The 21,875-nt window shown below is 44.6% G+C and overlaps 2 long non-coding RNA genes and 1 pseudogene across 2 annotated transcripts in view; 1 reads left to right on the top strand and 2 right to left on the bottom strand.

The window, feature by feature from the left end:
* The window catches only part of LOC105379315 (uncharacterized), a 283,462-nt gene extending 266,590 nt beyond the window's left edge, over nt 1–16,872 (top strand). The window contains exons 4-7 of the long non-coding RNA XR_949569.4: nt 5,823–5,930; nt 7,229–7,413; nt 11,517–11,827; nt 14,535–16,872. This is a non-coding gene — a long non-coding RNA (uncharacterized LOC105379315). The remainder of the gene's footprint in view (nt 1–5,822; nt 5,931–7,228; nt 7,414–11,516; nt 11,828–14,534) is intronic.
* TMEM97P2 (transmembrane protein 97 pseudogene 2) lies at nt 1,147–3,438 on the bottom strand (annotated as a pseudogene).
* Nucleotides 16,873–21,219: 4,347 nt separating the features above from the next.
* LOC105379316 (uncharacterized) overlaps nt 21,220–21,875 on the bottom strand; it is a 36,228-nt gene continuing 35,572 nt past the window's right edge. Inside the window, exon 4 of the long non-coding RNA XR_007060845.1 lies at nt 21,220–21,491. This is a non-coding gene — a long non-coding RNA (uncharacterized LOC105379316). The remainder of the gene's footprint in view (nt 21,492–21,875) is intronic.

Below are 21,875 nucleotides of genomic sequence, written 5' to 3' on the forward strand. Positions count from 1 at the left end.
GAATTGAGGCTCCTGGGAATTTAATCATGTCAGTACAGTCTTTTTTACATTATTAATTATTATTAACAATGTAACTATTATTAATAATGTAATTATTTTACATTATTAAGAAAACCCGGTATGCTTTACACACTTCTTCTAATTTTAGGAAACAAAAAGAAGTCAGAAAGAGCCAAATCAGGACTATATGGAAGATGACTAATGATTTCCCATCAAAGCTCTCACAATTTTCTCTATTTGATGAAAGGAATCAGCAGAAGCATTGTTACAGTGGAGAAGGACTCTCTGGTGGAGCTTCCCAGAGGGTTTTCTGTGAAAGCTTTGGCTAACTTTTTCAAAGCACTCTCTTTCTAAGCAGATGTTGTTACTCTTTGGCCCTTCAGAAAGTCAATGAGCAAAGTGCCTGAGTATCCCAAGAAACTGGTCCACTTTTGCTTTGACTGGACCATTCCACCTCTTGGTAGCCATTGCTTTGATTGTGCTTTCTTTTCAGGATAGTACTGGTACAGCCATGTTTTATCCCCTGTCACAATTCTTTGAAGAAATGCTTCACAGTCTTGATCCCACGTGTTTAAAATTTCCATTGAAAGCTCTGCTTTTCTTGGCAACTGACATGGGCACAATGACGTTGGCACTCATCAAGTGGAAAGCTTGCTCAACCTTAATTTTCCAGTCAGAATTGTGTAAGCTGAACCAACTGAGGTGTCTATGGTGTTGGCTATTGTTTGTGCTGTTAATTATCGGTCTTTTTTAATTAGGGCATGAATAAGATGAATTTTTTCCTTGCAAATAGATGAGGATGGTCTGCTGCTGCTGGCATCATCTTCAATATCATCTCTTCTTAAAATGAGTTACTCATTTGTAAACTGCTGATTTCTTTTGAGATTTGCCCCTAGAAACTTTTCATAAAGCATCAGTGATTGCACCATTCTTTTACCCAAGCTTCACCATAAATTTGAGGTTTGTTCTTGCTTCAATTTTAGCAAAATTCATGTTGCTTTGATAGAGGTTCTTTTCAAACTGATATTTTCTCCTCCTTGGTGCCTCAAACTAGATCCTGTTCAGACACGTTATAACAAGTTAGTATGAGTTTGGGTGCCAAAATTTTTTTAAATCCATGCATAGTGTTTTGTTGTTGTTGTTTTAAGTGGTCAGGAGGTACCTATATTTGGATCAGACACGTGAGTCAGACCAGTATGGCTTGTGAGCAACATGGGTGAAAATAGAGGGAACTGACCGGGACCTATTGTCTAACATCATTTTAAGGTCAGACTTGAGTACAAACTTAGAGAAAGCTGATGGAATGCCAAGCACCAACGTGAAGAGACCCTATATGCACAAGGTGGCTATGTTATGCCCAGCTGCTGCCATCTTCCCTTCTTCTGAGAACAAGATGGGAATGATTGAACTATATTAGAAGGATGAAGTTAGCCACTAGGGAGCACACTTCTAGATCAGGCTTGAGATACTAGACTTCAGATAAAGGGACTTATGTCAGGTAGCCTCTACAAATGAGAAGACTAAGATTTAGAAATAGAATAAACAGAGTAACTTTTTTTTTTTTTTGGAGGCGGAGACTTGCTGTGTCACCCAGGCTGGAGTGCAATGGCGTGATCTCTGTTCACTGCAACCTGTGCCTCCTGGGTTCAAGTGATTCTCCTGCCTCAGCTTCCTGAGTTGCTGGGATTCCAGGCACCTGCCACCATCCCCAGCTAATTTTTGTATTTTTTAGTAGAGACGGGGTTTCACCATGTTGGTCAGGCTGGTCTTGAACTCCTGACCTCTGGTGATCCACCCACCTTGGCCTCCCGAAGTGCTGGGATTAGAGGCGTGAGCCACTGTGCCCGGCCAGCAAAGTAACTTCAAACAAACAAACAAACCAAAAAAACCCTTCTCCTAGGATGATCTGTTCGCAACAGAAACAAAAACATTTTCCAGTTTAACCCATTTCTGACTGAAAGTCATTGTAGGGCTGAACCTTAAGGAAAACTAAGTTTAAACTTCCTTTGCATAGTATTTTGTCTTTTTTCCTTGGGTTAGAGGTGAGGACAAGAAAACATGACATAGTTTTGAATTAATACGAAAGAGGCAAAATTTGACATTTTAAATGGCCCCAAACATCCCACTGTTCATTTTGCTGACAGGTGATATACTCTAGAGAATCAGGAGTAGAGGGTTTAATCATAATAAGCATATATGCTGTGGGGTCAGGTGACTCATGAACATGTCAAGCAGGCCAAGTTCTTTAGCAGTTTCTGGTTTGGTCCTGCTTTTAGTAATGGTGCAGTGGAACTTAGGCACATAGTCAAGTATTTGGTACCACTTCCCTATAACCCAGCCCACACCTCTTTGCCCACTCTGAAGCCGGTCAGTATGTTCATCCCAGTGCACTTAGAAGGTGAAGGTTTGGGCTGGGCCCAGGGGCTCACGTCTGTAATCCCAGCACTTAGGAAGACTGAGGTGGGCGGATCACTTGAGCCTAGGCATTCGAGACCAACCTGGGCAACATGGTGAAACCCCGTCTCCACAAAACAAAAACAAAAACTAAAAAAAATGAGCCATGTGTGGTGGTGTATGTCTGCAGTCGCAGCTACTTGGGAGGCTAGGGAAGATCGTTTGAGCCCAGAAGGCGGAGGTTGCAGTGGGCCGAGATCATGCCACTGCCTTTCACTCCAGCCTTGGTAACAGAGTGAGACAGTCTGAAAAAAAAAAAAAAAAAAGGTGAGTTTTTGACGTGGTTTCTGACACCATCTTGCTCTTGTGCATTGCTGCCAGTGTTTCAAATGCTGATGAAGATGTGGGTTCTGAGCAGTGTTCCCTGTATTGTATCCAACAAACAACTGCCCTGCAGGCATTTCTACCCTGGGCCAATGGTTGTTTCTCTTATTTCTTTTTTCTTTTCTCCTCATACTTGTAGTAGGGGCTCTGCAACATGAAAATTAAAAGTACGAATGGGATGAGTAAGTAGGGGGCATAGACAGATACAGGGGTTAACCGTTCATGCAGAGTCTCAGGTCTTTATCCTTTGAAACCACTGGCTTTGGAGAAATCCTCCAACAGAAATGTGGAGAGTAGTGGAATTAAAGTTATCATGGTGTGAACTGAGTAGATGATTTGCAGGGGTTCGAATCCAGTTGCAGCTTCCTTTGAGGAAGGCATAGGTTGCAATGGGAAAGAAAGGCACCTGAAACATAAGCTCGCAAAACAGAAAGGACTTAAACCAAACTGGTGGCTCCTGTAGCAGCGGGCCTTTGAACCCCTTAGCATAGCACTTCAGCAGATTTCTAAACTGTACTGGGTAGAGTTCGCACGGCAGCACCGCCTACAGGTCCATGAACAGGATGATGGGGTTGTGGCTGAGGAAGTAGAGGCCCAGCAGCCACTCCATGCAGTGGCATTGTCTGGCGGTCGGGCCTGGACCTGCCGATATGAGAAGAGATAGTGTTTTCTTAATACACATTTTTTATGAAGTTTTTGAGAACCCCTCATATTTGAGTTGGAATCCTGGAGATCATTTAGTCCAGTTCTATCATTTTAGAGATGAGGATGCTAAAACCCAAGAAGTTAAGCAACTCTTTAGCCTGCACCATAGCTTACTAGAGGGTTCTTGTCCCTTAATTTTTAGCCAGGAAAACCTCCCATCACAGCACACTGCCTCTCTTTTTATCTCAAAATGACAGTGAATTTTCTAAATCAGGCTATAAATAAGAACATCTCTTTCACTTCTAACCATCTCTGGTAAACAGTGACTGCTTTGCCCCTAACTGGCAATCTAGAGTGTTTTCAGGGGCCTGGTTTTTATCCAGGCTGCAGTCCAGGCCCAGGCCCAGGCCCACCCCTGCCTTCCTCTCTGTGCCTGTGGTCCTCCATCCCTTTTTCTCACCTGGCCCTTGTGCAGTACTCCATGCATGACAGCAATCAATAACCTCCTTATTAATTAAATGACACTTTATAAAAGCTCTCCTCCAGGGGCTTTGAGAAAGCCAGCTTTGGCTAGCTGTAAAGTTTTCAGTAATCATTTAAGAAAAAAAAGTTATTCATCATCTTTATGGCAGATCACAGCCGCCACATTCTCCCCAGGAGTTCAATCCATCAAGCTCCTCAATGCAAGAATGGCTAACAAGGTCCCTGTCACTTTGGGTGAAATATACAAGCCTCACCAGAGGCTCCTGACTTCCACCAGGATCAAAGTTTGTAGGCACTGCTCCAGCCCAGCGTCCTCCACCCGAGAAGCCAGCAAGACAGCCTTGCCTTCCTTCCTATCTTTATTTGTAGAATACAGGTGGAAAAGAAGGAATCCTTCAAAGTTTTGTTCTTTCATGAAAATGGGTTCCTGTGGGCAAGAAATCTGCCATTATGCACCTAACCTTTTATATCTGAGATTTTCAAGAGAAAATGGTTTGACTATGGTAATAGGTCGGCTCTTTGAGATTTCCAACTCTCTTGTGCACATTCCACATTAATAACAACTGTCATAACTGCTAGCTATATAATATTTTGCAAAGTGATTTCAATGATGCTATCTCACTTGATCCTCACCTCAACCTTATAAAATAGACAAAGAAGGGGTCATTGACATTCTCATTTTGCAGATGAGTAAACTGAAGCATATGCATGGTCACTTGGGTTCTGGTGGCATTGTAGGGTTTGAGCGCAGATTTGGCTTCAAATTCCATGTGTCGCAAACTATTATATCACCTTGCCTTCTGTCCTCACCTCCCTTTCTGCTTTGTGTGTAGCACAATTGCATTTTGAATTAAGTTGTTTTTTGTAGTCCTTTCTGTTTGCCTGTATCAAATGTTACCGGAAATAAAATGCTCAAGCACAGCTGGGCGCGGTGGCTCACGCCTGTAATCCCAGCACTTTGGGAGGCTGAGATGGGCAGATCACGAGGTCAGGAGATCGAGACCATCCTGGCTAACAAGGTGAAACCCCTTCTCTACTAAAAATACAAAAAATTAGCCTGGCGTGGTGGCGGGCACCTGTAGTCCCAGCTACTTGGGAGGCTGAGGCAGGAGAATGGTGTGAACCCGGGAGGCGGAGCTTGCAGTGAGCCGAGATGTGAGCCGAGATGGTGCCACTGCACTCTAGCCTGGGTGACAGAGCAAGACTCTGTCTCAAAAAAAAAAAAAAAAAATCAAGAACAAGACAAGATGCCATGTTTGGGCTTTCCAATCAACTCAGAGTGGACAGAAGACTTCATGTTGTTCCAGCTCCTATGCTGAAAGCCTCAGACCGTGTGGGGTCCACTCCCCTGAGCTCTGGGGCTACTGTGAACAAGCCTGAGCTTTTCTCTGACCACTGGTGTTTGGGCAGGGGTGAGTCACATCATCTGAGGAGCAGCTCATGCTGTCTGTTTCTCCAACAACTGAAAAGAGATTGGAGAATATGTTAACAGAATCCAGGTCACATCTAGAAGTTGTATGTGCACATGAGCTCATGTGCATGTATCTGTAATGAGTCAATAGGACAAATCCAATTTCAATTTACACCCAGTACCTGCACTGTGTTGAGTGTTTTCACATGGGTTGTTTTTATTGAATTTGAATCCCTTGAAGTGAAGACTATCGTCTTCATTTTTTCAGACAAATAATTGAAACTCAGAGAGGCTGTGACTCGACATTTGACGGTGACATACTTCCTTTTCCCCCTCTCCCACCATAGAGTCCAGGGGATCATGGGTCACACTGCTTCCTCCTGGATGGATGTTTTATCAGCATGTCCCTGTGAGCTGTAGCCTGATTCTTTTCTTATTAACATCAAGTCTAGTCCTGACCAACAGGACCCAGGCCATTGAAATAGTATGTTCGCTCTTTGCTCAGGAATGGGAATGGGAAGAAGGCTACGGTTTTGCCCTGAGTGAGAGCCTTGGCTTTTCCTTCCACGGATTTGGCTGCAGATCCAGAGAGATGGGAGCAGGAGGCTTCTGAGTGAGTATCGGTGATTTTCTGCTCTTCTTCTGCTTGTTTTTTGATATGCTGAGCCACCGTGACTGATTTACCAGCTACCCCAGGGCTGAAAGCTGATGTTAGAATTCCCTACAATGGAAATGGTTTCTGCAGGCAAAAGTGGAGAAACATTAACTCATAAGAACAGGTGTTTGTTTAGAATGGTGGTTACTAGAGCCTGATGTGTTCCCTTGTATGTCCTCCTGTGGTGGACAGGTGTCCATCTGTGTGGTGTCCTCCTGTGTGGAGGTGGTGGGCAGAGAAGAAAAGGACCCAAGTGAGGTTAGAGAGAAACAAAGTAAGAACAAAAAAAAAAAAAAAAAGAAAGAAAGAAAAGGAAATAGAGACTTGTAGGAGGGAACATAATTTTTTTTTAAATTTTATTATTATTATACTTTAAGTTTTAGGGTACATGTGCACAGCGTGCAGATTCGTTACATATGTATACATGTGCCATGTTGGTGTGCTGCACCCATTAACTTGTTATTTAGGATTAGGTATATCTCCTAATGCTATCCCTCCCCCCTCCCCCCACCCCACATCAGTCCCCAGTGTGTGAAGAACATACAATTTTTTTTCAGCTGTCCAGTTTCCATCCCCTTTGAGTTCTTTTCCTCCTACAGATGGCCCATGGCTGTAACTACTACCAAATTCACAGAGGTACACTAGTGCCCAGCTCTCACTGTCTTGAGCAATCCTGAAGAATTACAAAATCCCTTCCCTCTCAGCTCAGCTGGAATTGGTGAAACTCTCAAAAGAGCATTAGATTAGGTAGATAGATAGACAGACAGACAGACAGATTAGATAGATGATAGATAGATGATAGATAGATAGATAGATAGATAGATAGAAACAGTCAGTGTCTACAGATACATAAAAATGAGCAAGTTGATGAGGTCCTGGTGCTTCAGTCTAATTTAACTAAAGACTAGCCACAGTAAAGAATGCAGACTACACAAGCCCAGCTACTTAGAAACTTCCAATAGCTCCCCCTTTCCAAATCTTTCATATTTTTCCATCCCGCTTTGTCCTTGGCACATTCACCCTTCCTAGGGGAGAGGAACATTTTGAATGCTTACTATGTGAAACCACTTGTATTCATCAGACATCTTCTTGTTATAAGTGAAATACTAACTCAAAATAGCTCAGAAGCAAAAAAGATAAACATTGATCCTTCAACTAAAGCTTGAAAAGGCAGGAGAGATTGCAGCCTCCTGGCTCTGCATCTGTCCTCGCACCTGAGTCCAGGTTGGGGCTCATTCTCTTGGGTTCCTTTGCAGGGAGAGCTGAAGCCACCAACTGTTCTGGAAGCCCTGGTTTTAGGAGTGGTAAACAAAGAGAAAAGGAGATAGGTTGTCAGCCCAGCTTCAGAATGAAGATCTTGGGGAAGGACTCCAAGAGGCTGGACATGGACAATGTGCTTTATCCTCGACCAGCATCACAGCCAAAGACCAGGATGAGTCAAGTATGTGGGTCCCCGCCCTGGTCTGCAGCTGAGGGAATGGGGTGTTGGGTGGGCAACTTTGCAAGCAATAATAATGAGAGTGGAGGTGGATTTATACACAGGAGGAATTGGGGGTAATAGCACTCAGAAAAACGGGAACATGAGCCCCACAAACGTGAAACAATGGATGTTCACTGAAGTATTGGAATGCATCATTTCATGTAATCCTCAGGCCAACACTAACATTTAACAAGCTCAGTGAGGCGGGGCTCTGGGTGTGTTTCACATTGTATCCATGGTAGCTGGAATAGTACCTGGCTCATAGCAGATCCTCAAATATGTACTGAGTGAAAGTGAGCTTCCTGCTATTACGAAGCCCATTTTATGAGGCTTCGCAGGGTGAAAGAACGGGCAGAAGGAGAGTATTTGACCTCAGGGCTGTCTGGCCTGCTTCTCCCTCCTTGCACCCCATGGAATTGTCCCCTGCCGGGCAGTGCCATGGGCTCTCTGATCATCACAGGTTTGCATTTTGCAGCCAGATCCAGGCTCCACACGAGGGCCTGTCCAATAGAGCCCTTCCTTGTCTCTGAGAAAGCAAGAAAGAAAAGTGCAGCAGACGAGACCAGCTGAGGTGCAAGGCAGGCCGGGCAGGAGATGGAGGATGGGGAAAAAAATTAGAACCAACCCTGTGGAAACCTGCCCTGGTCTCCTGAGCAGGTGCCAGGCAGGCCAGGGCATGGCATCTGGGGCCCCTGTTGGATTTAGAAGTAGTCCAGGTAGCTGTCAGGATCCAAGTGACACAGGGAGGAGGATGGGACAGCTGGTGACACTAGATATCAGGTTGATGGAGGCATTTTTGGAGCAAAGGAGTTATTTGAGAGCAGGATTCTAGCCACATGAATAGGACTCAGGCATGGTGACCAGGCCACAACCAAATCAGCTGGGGTCCAAGTAGGAGTCGCCAATGTCAGTGAGAAGCTGAGGTGCCGGGCAAGACCGCTGAGGCAGAGGCAGCATGGTAGCACAAGGCCATGGATTGTCTATCAGTGGGTGCCCAGAGCGCACCCTGATATACTGAATAGGAAAGTAACAACCAGATTCATTCCAGACTCTTCCCCTAACTACACACACACATATACAGCAGCTCCTGTTGCGAAGGCTGAGAAAAAAAGGGAGTGACAGAAGAAAGCAAGAAAAAAATCACATTGGAGTCAAAAGGAGCAGGCAGGCTGGGCGTGGTGTCTCCTGCATGTAATGTCAGCACTTTGAGAGGCCAAGGTGGGCGGATCACTTGAGGTCAGGGGTTCTAGACCAACCTGGTCAACATGACAAAATTCTGTCTCTACCAAAAATACAAAAATTAGCCAGCCATCATGGCGTGCACCTGTAATCTCAGCTACTCGGGAGGCTGAGGCAGAAGAATTGCTTAAACTAGAGAGGTGGAGGTTGCAGTGAACTGAGATCGCACCACTGCACCCCAGCCTGAATGACAGAGTAGGACTCCATCTCAAAAAAAAAAAAAAAAAAGCAGGCAAAACCCACGCTTCTGGGTAGTGGGGTAGTTTTGGCTGCTTCTATGTCTCTCTCTTCCCCTAGCCAGGCCTCTGTGGAACTGCCCCACCCTACCCCACCTTTTTCCTCTTGCCCACCTCATGGCTGGCATTGTACATCTCAACTTCTTTTAATTTTCCAAAGTCAGACACTGCGATTGCCCCGCAGCTGCACATGTGAATCCCCTCCTGTCCACAGCCAGCTCCGCCCAAGTATCAGTCTGGGGAAATCTGGAAACTGAGCCCCTGACACTGTACTTTTGGGCCAAGCCCTTGCTGGGCTCCTGGCAGGACCGAGCCTGCCCCTGTGCACATGCACCCTTCACAGTGAGGAGTGCTGTCTCAGTATCCTGGGGTGACGTGGAATGGAAGAGTCTCTGCGGTCGGCTTTGGAAAAAAATAAAGCAAGAAGCTGGAATATCATTAGTGTTTAACTCCTCTCTCTCCATTACTCGCCATTAAACCAATGAGAGGACCCAGTGTCCATGTCGGCTCATACTTTAGAAACTGGATTCAGCCACCGAGAGCTGATAAGTGCTGATAATTGGCTGCCCCAGAGGAGCTGTGGAGGCTGCTGCTTCCCAGGAGAGCTGTCCCACAGCTCTAAGGGCAGGAGGCCCTGCCCTAGCCCTGTGCCTCCTGGCCTGCTGTCCCCAGGGGCCTGGCCTCTGGTCGTCACAGAGCCAACGCTGGCCTTGCGCAGCAGTGGAGCCTCCCTTGCCTGCAGAGCTATGCCTGCTGAGCTAACAGAAAAGCAGGGGGTGGGGGCGCAGAGCTATTAGCTCGTCTGAAGAGTGTCCCTCGATCAAATAAATGAACTGCACTGTTTACTGTGTAAACTTGGACTGAAGCAGCCGCACTGAGCGGGGTTCATAACAAGGGCTGTTAATATTTATGGCTGACACTGGTGGCTCCTACTGACACAATAATGAGCCCATCACCCCCTGAGCTGGATTCGCTACCACCTTCCAGCAGATGCAGAGGGCAGGAGGGAGGACTGGGGTCGTCGGATGGGTGATATATGCCTAGCAGTACCCAAAGCCTTCCTGATCTGGATCTCAGAGTCTATGCAAGATGTAGAAGTGACTGCTGAGCACCCGCTGTGCACAGATCATTAAGCCAGTGCTGAAGAGGTAAGCGCTTCTAGGAAACCACTGAGTAACCAGAGGAATGAGTGCTACCAGAGGGTTGAGGTTCAAGCTGGAGTTGGCCCCTCATCCCTGGGTTAGATCCCCGAGTAGAAGGATATGGCTTCCGAGATGAACAGCCTCAGCTCTGGGAAGCTAGGGTGATCTTTACATAGAGAATGTGGCTCCCAGGACTGGGGGGCTCAGAGTCTCTCCTGAAAAACTGTCTCATTCTTCCCTAAAGAGCCTCCCTGAGCTCTTCTCCAGCTCTCTCCTGGACCAGGAGGTCTAATTTGAAGCCCTCAAAGCTGGTGAGAATGGGCTGGCAGGAGAGGAGGCAGCAAGGGAGACAGAAGACCCCTGAGCGAGCTTAGTGGCTGCACACTGAGGCTTTGGTCCTCCCTTGAAGTGGTTGACCTAGGGGCCCTAGGGGCAGCTGCTCTCCCTGGGTGGGCCAGGCGCTGATCCTAAGCACCCAGGACACTTTCTGGCCTAAGTGATCCACTCTGACTCTAGGCCTGCTCTGCCAGCCCCACTAACTCTGTGATGTTGGGCAAAGAACTTTCCTTCCCTGGCCTGATTCCATTTTTGCACAAGCAGGGATTTGGGCTAGATAGGAGTCATTAGCTTGTCGTAATCTAACCTGAATGGCTTGAAGAAGCCAGACCCGGGATATGTACATGCATGGAGAAAAGGAGCAAGGGGGAGGGGAGTGCCAACCAAGGCACTTTGGTCCAAGGCCAGGCTTCTTGGGGTCCAAGAACCCCCAAAGTGTAGGCCACAGCATATGTGTGCATATAGCATTCATTATTCTTAAGTAGCTCAGAAACAGTTCAGAATCACTGCATGCAACCCTAAGGTTCTTTCAAATTCTGAGATCCTCTAGTTCTAAAACTCCCACACCCCATGGAACTCCCTCCCTGAGTTACGTTATGGATGGGGTTGTCCGAGTCTCTCTGCATGTGCAGTGGGGCAGCCTTCAGGAGTGGAGAGATCATAGGGGCTGGCACCCACGTGGTGGATTCACATAGTACAAGATTGAGGGCACAGCTTTTGGAGTTAGACCTGAATTGGAATCTGAACTCTCTGATTACAGTGATGTCTGTAAGTCTTTGTCTCTTCATCTGTGAAATTGGCATAATAATGCAGGGTGACTCTATATCTGAAAACACAGGTGAATACATAATGAGCCATTTGTAGATAGTACATTACAGTCTGTGATAAAATAACACTAACTGTGTGTTTCGATTGCATAGCCACTTCCTAGTAGCATCTACATCAGAGGGTGGTTTAGAGGATTCTATGCAATGATGAATACAAATTCCCTGGCACAATGCATGTGCCAATAAATGTTACCAATAGTAATGATTATCGTAACGTTTATCTCTGTGCCATGCAGATCAGTGTCCTGGGCTAACGCTCTCTGTTCACCTCTTGTCTCCGCCAGGCAGTGCCTCTGATTATGAGCGCACCCTCAAGTTCGCCCAAAGTGCAGTGTGGAGGGAGGATTCCTGAATTTGGAGGCCTCAGTGGGAACAGATAGACCCAAGAGGAAACAAACTAGGAGTCCAGTCAAGCCACTGGAGGCCCAGAGGATGTTGCAAGGACAGCAGACATGTGGTTTAGAGGAACAGGGGGCAGACAGGCAGCAGAGTCCAGCAATAGCTGAGACAATGGTACAAGGGAGGCTGCCTAATTTATAGCACCCCACGGTCCCCAAGTGCTGATTGTGGCCCAAGAGGAGTCAGAGACCAGCAGGTGAGTTCTATTCTTGATTGCTGCAGGTTCACAGGTGCTGTGGTTGCTTCTCAGCAGGGCGGTGGGTGGGGTGGCCAAAGTAAAAGCAATGCAAATGGTGTGGGCAGCTAAGCAGCATTTCCAAGAGCAGAGAGGACCCGATTCTCCTGCAGACCTGGGTCTGCAGATGCTGCTCTTTCCCCATCATTCTTTCATTAAAGTGGAGCCAGGAACTTTGCGGAGGTGGGGCATAGTAGCGGTTGGGTAGAGATGCTTATAGCGAAGCTAGAAGGTCTCTCCTGAGTTCTTCAAATTAGAGTCAGATCCCTCAGGGCTCAGGCAGACGTAAAGTTTGGAAGGAGGGGAGGCTGTTTGATGGATGGAAAGAATAAAAAAATCTATTAGCAGTGCTTTGAGCTCTTTAGAGAACAGTTCCTGAGGAAGCCAAGTAAATAACTTCCTGATACCCAAGATTTGTTAATTAAGCACTTTGAACAGGCTCTGGGAGGAGGGGCAGACAACTGTAGAATCCGACTTCTGAGTCTCCCAGTCTCAGGAGAGACGGCACATGTCTCAGTGGCTCGAGGTGTCGCCCAGCCTCCGTGTAAGGGATGGGGCTGCTTCACTACAGGAGGGAGGCCTGGTGCACGGTGGAACCCCATGTAGAGACGACAGGGCAGGGCCTGAGTTGTGCACACAGTGGCACATGTGTTGTGCTATCCTTCTTGACTCCATGAGCTGTGTATCATGGAGAGACAGCAACAGCTGACCTGTCTAGGAGAAAAGCCACCTGGCCTCACCCAAGGGGATTCTAGGGAGGAATGTTTGCCTGTGGATGCCAGCATCTGTGCAGGGGTGCATCGTGCATCTGGTTTAAGCCCAGGAGACCCTGGGCTCCTCTTCTGACGTGCACATACTCCTGGGAAAAGTAATGCATGGAATCGCGCTGTCTTCTTTAAGGGGGGTTGTTCAGATCCGAGAGTTCCTTGATGGGAAAAAGGGGGCCAAAGAGGAGAAAGAGAAGGCAGCACTAAGAGGAAGAGGAAGGGAGGGAGCTGGAGGCTGCTCCTCCCCCTAGCCTGAGGGAGGCAGACACCAAACCTCACCCCGGAACCCCTCAGCCTGCTCAGGGGCCTGAAGCTTGCTCCAGAAGAGGCCCAAGGAAGAGAGAAAAGAGGAGAAGGAGCTGGGGACAGAGAATAGAACTCCTGAGGGCTGATACTAACAACTTGCTTGCTTTTTTCTCCCCGAGGGGTCTTCAGGCAAATCCAATCTGGGCCACTGTCCTGGTTCTGGGGAGTAGACCTAGATGAGCCGCTCATTCTCCTCCAACACCCCTCCCATCTTCATCAGGTGGCTTTCCTGTGTGGTCCCATCCACTTGATGTCATTCCTATAAAGGGCTATGAAAAATAAATGTCTAGTCAATGGAATCCTCATCTGGAGGAGTCATGGAGGGGAAGGAATCCTGGGTAGGTCCCTTGTATGGAAGAGAAAAATCCTTAAAGTAACATGAATGTGTCCAGCCTGGCTGCCACCCCAAATCACCCAGGTCTAACTCTGCCAGCCCTTCCCAGACAGTAGGCTGAGTCTCGTCCCCATGCAAGAATCATGAGTTACCCTGACTCCAGGCTTGTGGGAAATTCCCCATCTCTACCAGGTGGAAACCTAGCCTCTCCATCACAGCCTGAGAGAGAGGCCTCGCACCCAGCACCACATCCCACAGTTCTGGGGCTGCACAAAGCCAGACAAGTTTGAAGACAAAGAGAAGGAACTCTCCTTTCTTCATGTGGAAGACACATGCACACATAAGCCTAGCTGAGGACATGATAAGGAAAAGCTCATGGACGTTCTCAGATGGGGTTGGCAATGTCCAGCTGTGTCATGCTGAGTCCCTGGGCACTGAAGAGGGTGGTTGGTGGGAGAGGACGCTGGTAGCTGGGAAGACCTGGGTGAAATCTGAGTTGGTCATGGGCATTGTCCCTGTCTGTCCATACTCTGTACAGCGTCGCCCCCAGTAAGGCCCAGGATGGGGCTCCTCCACAGCAGATGGGCAGAAGAAAAGTGCAGGGGAAGCACACAGAGCCAGGGGGCTCAGGAGGGAGGGAAGCTGTCATTTCCTCACCCATTCCTTTCTGTGTGGTTCTAGTCCAGGCTGTCGATGCTGTCCTTTGTGTTTCTGGCTGAGAGGAGGTTGTCTGTCTCCTGTTCCCGCCTTTGCTTTCTGCACCTAACTTTCCCCCAGCCTCAGCTTCCTCCCTACCTCTGCCACCTTATTTATTCCCCATAGTGACTGAAAGCTAGAGATGTTTATTTCCTTTTTAGTATTATTATTATTTTTAAGACAGGATCTCGCTCTGTCGCCCAGGCTAGAGTGCAGTGACGTGATCTCAGCTGACTGTAACCTCTGTCTCCCGGGTTCAAGCTGTCCTCCCGCCTCAGCCTCCCCAGTAGCTGGGATTACAGGCACACACGACCACGCTTGGCTAAGATGTTCCTTTGGAAAGATAAGGAAACAGGCTCGGGGTTGTTGAAGACCACTCTGCCTGGGAAGTGCAGAGCCTGGATATGCATGCAGTTTCCTGACAGGGAAGCTCCATTTTTTCCGCTGTTATGCACACTGCACCTGTGGTACACTCTGGAAGATCTTGCCATTGGGCCTTCTCTAAATTTGTCCTTCCAAGACTGCTGCCCCGGTCTCAGACTCATAATTCCACTTTCCCTTAAAGGTGAGGCTGGGGTTTAGAGTAAGAAGCAAAGTGGTCTGGATGGGCAAGGTCCACTACCCTATCTGGGAGAGGAGGAAACTTTCGTGTGTGATGTGCCCAGGAGTACTGCAGAATCAATAACCACGGACTCCTCTGAACCTCCAAGACATAAGCCATTCCTGTTGTTTGAGGTACCGTGGGCCATAAGCATGGGCAGAAGGGCAATCTCTTTAAAACCATCAAGAGCAACTACGTATCGTTCCAAGATTGAAAGACCAGTATGGCTAAGATGTAAATTCTCTCAAATTTGTCTATGGATTCCACACAATCACAGTCAAAATTCAAGCAGACTTTTTTTAAAAATAGAATTTGACAAGCTGGTACTAAAATGTGTATAGCAATGCAAAACATCTAAAATAGCCCAAATGATTTTGAAAAAGAACTGGGTTGGAGAACCCACCCTCGCTGATTTTAAGACCTACTGAAGAGCTATTTTACTCAAGACTGCATAGCGCTGGCATAGGGTTGACTTATATATCAATGAGGCAGAATAGAGAGTCAAGAAATAGACCCATACATGTATGTCTAATTTATTCTCAACAGAGGAGGCAAGACAATTTGATGAATGAAAGGAAAATCTTTTCAACAAACTGTGCTGGAACAACTAAAAGTCCATGCAGAAAAGAAAAAAAAAAAGAACCAAGAAACTTTATCCTTACTTTATCCTCACCACACTGAAAATTTGACTTGAAGTGGATTTAAACCTAAATATGAAAGCCAACTGTAGACTTTTAGAAAAAGCTGTGGGAGAAAACCTTCACAATCTTGAGTTAGGCAGATATTTCTTAGGACACAAAGAGCATAAACTGTTCACAAAAAACTGTGATAAATTGAACTTTATCAAAATTTAGAACTTCTGCTCTTTGAAAACTACCATTATGAAAAGACAAGCTGCAGATCAGAAGAAGATATTTATATTACATATATCTGACAACTTATATCTGAAATATATAAAGAACTCTTACAACTTAATAAGACAACTTAATAAAAATATTAGCACATGATTTCACAGACACCTCCCAAAAGAGGATATAGAAATGCTGTATAAGCCCATGAAAAGATGCTCAACATCATTAGTTCATCAGAAGAAGTGTCAATTAAAACTATGGATACTATTACACACACCCTGGAATAGTTAAAAAGACTAATCATCCTTAGTATTACTTAGTATCCGGAGCAATAATCACACAAATGATGCTGCTATGAATGTAAAATGGTACAACTACTTTTGAAAACAGTTTGAGAGTTTCTAATAAGGTTAAACATAAATTTACCATATGAGATGCCAACTGGACACTTAAGTATTTAGCAAAGTAAAAGGAAAACAAATGTCCCCACAAAGACTTAGACAGGAAGTACAAAGCACACCATAGCTCCAAACTGCTGTGTCATAATAGCTTCAAACACATGTCAATCAACAGGTGAATGAATAAACAAGCTGTAACCTGGAGCTTCACAGCTTGACTTAAATTCAGCCATGTCAGGAATCATCTTTTTAAATTACAAACATAGGTTTGTAATGTCATACTCCTTAGCAATTTAGAAAGATGAGCTCATGATGCATTCAGCAATGTGGATTACTCACACCACATTCTGCTGTGTGAAATAAGCCAGGCATAAAACAGTACACATCATAAGGTTCTGTTCATATCAATCTCTAGAAAAGACTGATCAACCATTACAGCAATTATAAATAGTGCTGCAATGAACATACATGTGCATGTATCTTTGTAATAGAATGATTTCTATTTCTTTGGGTATATACCCAGGAATGGGATTGCTGGATCAAATGTTATTCCTGTTTCTAGATGTTTGAGGAATCGCCATACTGTCTTCCACAATGGTTGAACTAATTTACATTCCCAGCAATAATGTAAAAGCATTCTTATTTCTCTGCAACCTCACCAGCATCTGTTGCTTCTTGACTTTTTAGTAATGGCCATTATGTCTGGCGTGAGATGGTAATTTATTGTGGCTTTGATTTGCATTTCTCTAATGATCAGTGATGTTGAGCTTTTTTTCATGTTTGTTGGCTGCATGAATGTCTTCTTTTGAGAAGTTTCTGTTCATGTCCTTTGCCCACTTTTTGATGGGACTGTTTTTTTGTTCTTGTAAATTTGTTTAACTTCCTTGTAGATTCTGGATATTAGATCTTTGTCTGATAGATTGCAAAAATTTTCTCCCACTCTGTGGTACACATACACATGGAATACTATGAAGCCATGAAAAGCAATGAGATCATATTCTTTGCAGGCATGTGGATGGAGCTGGAAGCCATTATCCTCAGCAAACTAAATGCAGGAACAGAAAACCATACACCACATGTTCTCACTTATAAGTGGGAGCTGAACAATGAGAACACATGGACACAGGGAGGGGAACAACACACACTGAGGTTTGTTGGGGGGCAGAGGGAGGGGAGAGAGAGGATTAGAAAAAAATAGCTAACGTATACTGGGCTTAATAGCTAGGTGATGTGTTGATAAGTGCAGCAAACCACAGTGGCACATCATGTTTACCTATGTAACAAACCTGCACATCCTGCACATATACCCTGGAACATAAAAATAAAGTCACAGCAAACAGATCAGTGTTGTCTAGAGCCAGGAGTGGAAACTGATTGTGTAAAGGCACAAGAAAACATTTTGAGATAATAAAAATATCCTACACTTTTTTAAAATTTATTTTTATTTTTAATAGAGACAAGGTCTCACTGTATTGCTGAGTCTGGCCTCAAACTCCTAGGATCAAGCAATCCTCCTACCTCGATCTCCCAAAGTGTTAGGATTACAGAGGTGAGCCACTGTACCCAGCCCTGATATTTTATATATCTTGATTGTAGTGGTGGATGTAAAGATATATACATTTATGTGAGTATACACATATATACATATATCTGAATATATATTTGTATTATGTACTCATCAAAATGAACATCTGAAGTGTGTGCATTTTATTGTATGTAAGCTATAACTCACTAAAGTTGCTGTAAAAAGACAACATATATCAAGTCTTTCTGACCTGCTTGCTTCTAACTACTACAGTTCCCACTGCACTTAAAGCCTAGACTTGTCACCGCATTCTACAGGGCCCTGCATGGTCTGGTGCCATCTCTCACCACTGTTTCCAAGGTCATTGTCTTCCAGGCACACTTGCCTGCTGTTATTCCCTTCTGTGGCCCTCCCCACAGGTAGCGCCCCTGCCTAGACTGCTCTATGCTCAGCTCTGTGTCCCTTGCCTATAGGGTCACCACCCCGATAGTTCTCTACTTAGCCTTTGCTCTGAGTCATCATCATTAGCTCCCCAATTTAAATGTTGTCCCTCTACTATATTTGTCCACGACACTCTCTTCCTACCTAGGCATTATCACAATTTGTACATACATGTGAATTAATGTGGTGTCCTCTTTTTAAATGTTTTTCCTACCCTAGACTGTAAGATCAAAACAGGACCAAGTTTGCTTTGTCCCCTACTGCATCCCTAGCATCTAGCAATGTCCCTGCAGATAGTCGAGTCTCCGTAAATATTTGGTAGATAAAAGGATGGACAAATGGATAAATCAATGAATCAATATTTTTCTTTAGGAAGTTGTTAGGAATCAGTGGATCACTATGGTGAGGGCTACATGTGGTGGAATAAAGGACTCAGCCTTGGGTATCAGGCCCTGGCTCTCTCACTAATGCACAGAACAGATTGGATTCACTAGATTGGGGTTGGGGGCCGGGAATTCTAACATTTAACAAGGGCCCCAGGGTAATTATGGTGTAAGAATGTATGATAATAACTAGGTAAGCGTATATATCTATAGCATATATATATATATATATATATATATATATATATATATATTCCTGTAAACACTTGCAAATCCATATGTAGAGATTTTTGAGCCATCATTTCAAAAAATGCAATTCCTTTTACTCATTTATCTGTATCTTCTCACTCAACAATTCCTTGTAGAATCCCTCTAAGTTGCTTGACATGCTATTATTCTTTCCTCTTTATTAATAGATACAAGATACAGTGCAGGGTGTGTAGTGGTTGTTAGTGCTATTCACCAATACTTTTTTTTTTTTCTTCTCTTCCAGACACATGGTAGAATTGCACTTCCTGGCTCACCTTTGGCTGAATGGGGCCATGTGACTAGTCATAGCCAAGGAATTATGACTTCTGCCTTGAAGCATTTAATCACCTGGTTCGAGACCCTCCAGAACTCATTTCCCCATGGCACAGCAACTGGAAATATTTAAGGTAATAGTTGTTCCATCAGCCTGGGTCCCTGAATGACCCTGAGGAATAGAGTCCTTTACTGGCTTGACTTGGACATATAGTATGAGCAATCAATCCATTGTTATTGTTTTAAGTTATTAAGCTTTTGGAGTTGTTTATTCCATATCAACAAGCAGCCTAGCCTAACTGAAATATATTATTGTACCAGAATTCATTCAATCATTCTTTGCCACGAACAAGAGTACTCCAAGAACATCCCTTCACATATGTCATTAGACACTGGTGTGAGTCTAGACAAATAGAGAAAAATATGGAAGGATACATAAAAGGTTAACATGGGTTCCATGGTTTTGTGGAGGATTTGTGGCTGAGAATTATTAGTATGGAGGAGGTTGGAGAGAGGAAGAAGATACAAAGAAAAGAAAGAGAGAGAGAAAGAAAATGAAAAGCTATATATAATATAATCACGTTTATGTAATTCTATAAAATTATAAATCTTTATGTAGTCCTACATAAACATATCTATATCTGTGTTTGAATTTTTAAAAAATAAATACTTAAATTACTAATTTATAAAAAGAAAGCCACCAGACCATTTAAGACCCTGATGAAAATGCAAATGTTATTTTGGATGCTCAAATACTAGGGGATTATGGAGCAGTTATTTAGACTTCTGCTCCGGTCACATTAAGGGATTAGTAACTGCATGCTGATGGAAAGAGTGAAAGCATAGCATTCAGGGCAGCTTGGTGTTGATGCTGGGGAAGAGGATGGGTGGCGTGGGGGACGGAAAGAGCTGTGGTGCCTTTTGATACTAGGCTAAAAATGGTACCTCAGAGGGAGAAGGAATAGCAAGAGGGCTTTGGGAAAGCAGGTGAGGATATTGATTTGAAGGAGGGAGGTACATGATTGAAGGAGGGAGGTGCATGAGCAGAGCTAGCAAGACTAAACTAGCCATCATCAACATATACCTGTGAGATCACCTGGTCTATCATCATTTTATAAGAAGGAGCTATTTTCTTTCAGATTATCTCCTGTAACTAGCACAATGCCTGGCTTGTCAGAGTAAGAACCCACAAAGCATTTGATGAGAGACTGTGTGTGTGTGTGTGTGTGTGTGTGTGAGAAAGAAAGAAGCAGGGAAGGGACTTGATTACATAGCTTATCAGTTGCAGAGCCAGGAGTAAAATTCAGACGCAGGCTCATTTTAGCTCCAGATTCTTCTAGGAATACTTGAAAGAGATCCACAGAGAGATAAGAGGAAGGGAAAGAGAGAAGGGAAGGAAGAAGGAAGGGAGGGAGACAGCGCTCTCTTTCTCTCTCTCTCTCCCTCCTTCTCTGTCTCTTTTTCCCCCTTCCCCTCTCCCAGAAGTGGAGGTGCATTGTAGGAGGTGCATTGTATTGAGGAGAACGACACCAGCGGGCCCTTCTCCAGTAATTCAGGTTGTGTAACAGAAGGACACTCCTCCTTCTGTATGTGCTCTGAAAGGACCCCCAGTGTCAGGAGCCTCTTAACTCACTGTCCATGAGCACTGGCCCCCTTTGGTTTTAACAGCCTACCAGGCCCTGGAATCTGACCTTGTCAAGCACCCCATGGGGTCAGGCAGTCTCCCAGTCCTCTCTGGACTCAACTGTCTGAAAAGGATTGGCCTGTAATTCCAACAAAATAGATTGTGAATATGTTGCTGAGGGAGTGCTTTTTTTTCTGTAGCCTTTCTGTAGTATGTGCGTTTTCCCCCAGAAAGAGGATCTTTGGAGCAATCCTCATGTCTTTCTTTTCCCTGGAAAGAGATCCTCAGAGCTATCTTCCTTTCCACAACTGACCACATCCTGAAGATAATATCTCCTGGACTGGCTATGCTAACTCTTCATGAAATGTAGAGAACTGGCCAAGGATTCGAAAGTGGTTTAGCAGAGGATCTGATAAATTCATCTATACGAAGGTGTTAGGGTCTGATAACCCTTTAACGTGTTATCTTTCCAAGCAGACTTGCATTATTATAGAGCACAGACAAAGTAAATTGTTATGCATCAGCTGATAAGGCAGTAGATGCTGGCTCAATTTTCCAAACATGAATATGTTTGATGTAAGTGGAACATAGAAACTAGGTGGTTAAGTATTAGATGATTTGGGATGTGGTAAGATACAGTGGATACACGTTATTAATTAAGAATTGGGTTTGGATTGTGTATCAAATGGTATGCTTTTACCCAGAAATAATAGATTACAGAACTAAAGGTGGCTGAAAGATTGAGGAAATTTTACTATATTATATAACAAGAACTCCAGTTTGGTTAATTTAATAGCAGGAATGTTTCCTCTTTCTGTTGTACCCCATATGATTGATTGCCAGGTGCTATAGCCTGTTCTATGTATTATGAAAATCTTAATTACAGAAAATATCTCTCCTTTCACTCCTTGGGCAACTTTTTTTAATAGAAGAGGCTTTACAGCATCCCTTTGTATTAATCAACATGGACTTACAGCCATAGAAATATCACCAGAATTCTATGGTCAAATATAATTAAGGCTTATTTCTTGCTCAGGTCATATTCTGGTTCAAACAGACTGGAGTGAGGAGAATGTTCTGTTCCATGAAGACATTCAGGGATCCAGGCTCCTTCTATTTGGTAGCTGCAGCGTCTTCTGGGGTTTCAGAATAACATGCTGGATCCTCTGCACCTGCCCTGTAGATGGAAGGAAACGTAAGACATCCTCTCAGTTCTCATTGGTGATGTGTGAGTCCCAAGCTTATGAATAAATGAGTCACTGTCAAGAGAATGAAAATCATCAGACTGGTTTATGTTGTGCACAAACCCTAAGGTGGCCCCCCAATATTGCCTGTCTTCTGGTATCCGCACTATCCGCGCCTTTGTATAATCCCTCCTGCCCTGAGTGTGAGATAGGAGACTTTTTCTAACCAATGGAAGGTGGCAAAGGTGTGTGAGTCACATCCTTGAGTATGTTTTGTTAGAATGTCACGTTTGTGATTTTATTACGTCACTTTATATAAGGCTCTGTCTCCCTAGGATTTTTTGCTTGCTGGCTTGATGAATTAAGCCAGGTGGAAA

This window comes from Homo sapiens, chromosome 8 (genome assembly GCF_000001405.40).
Source record: "Homo sapiens chromosome 8, GRCh38.p14 Primary Assembly".
In the NCBI taxonomy this organism is placed as follows: Eukaryota; Metazoa; Chordata; class Mammalia; order Primates; family Hominidae; genus Homo; species Homo sapiens.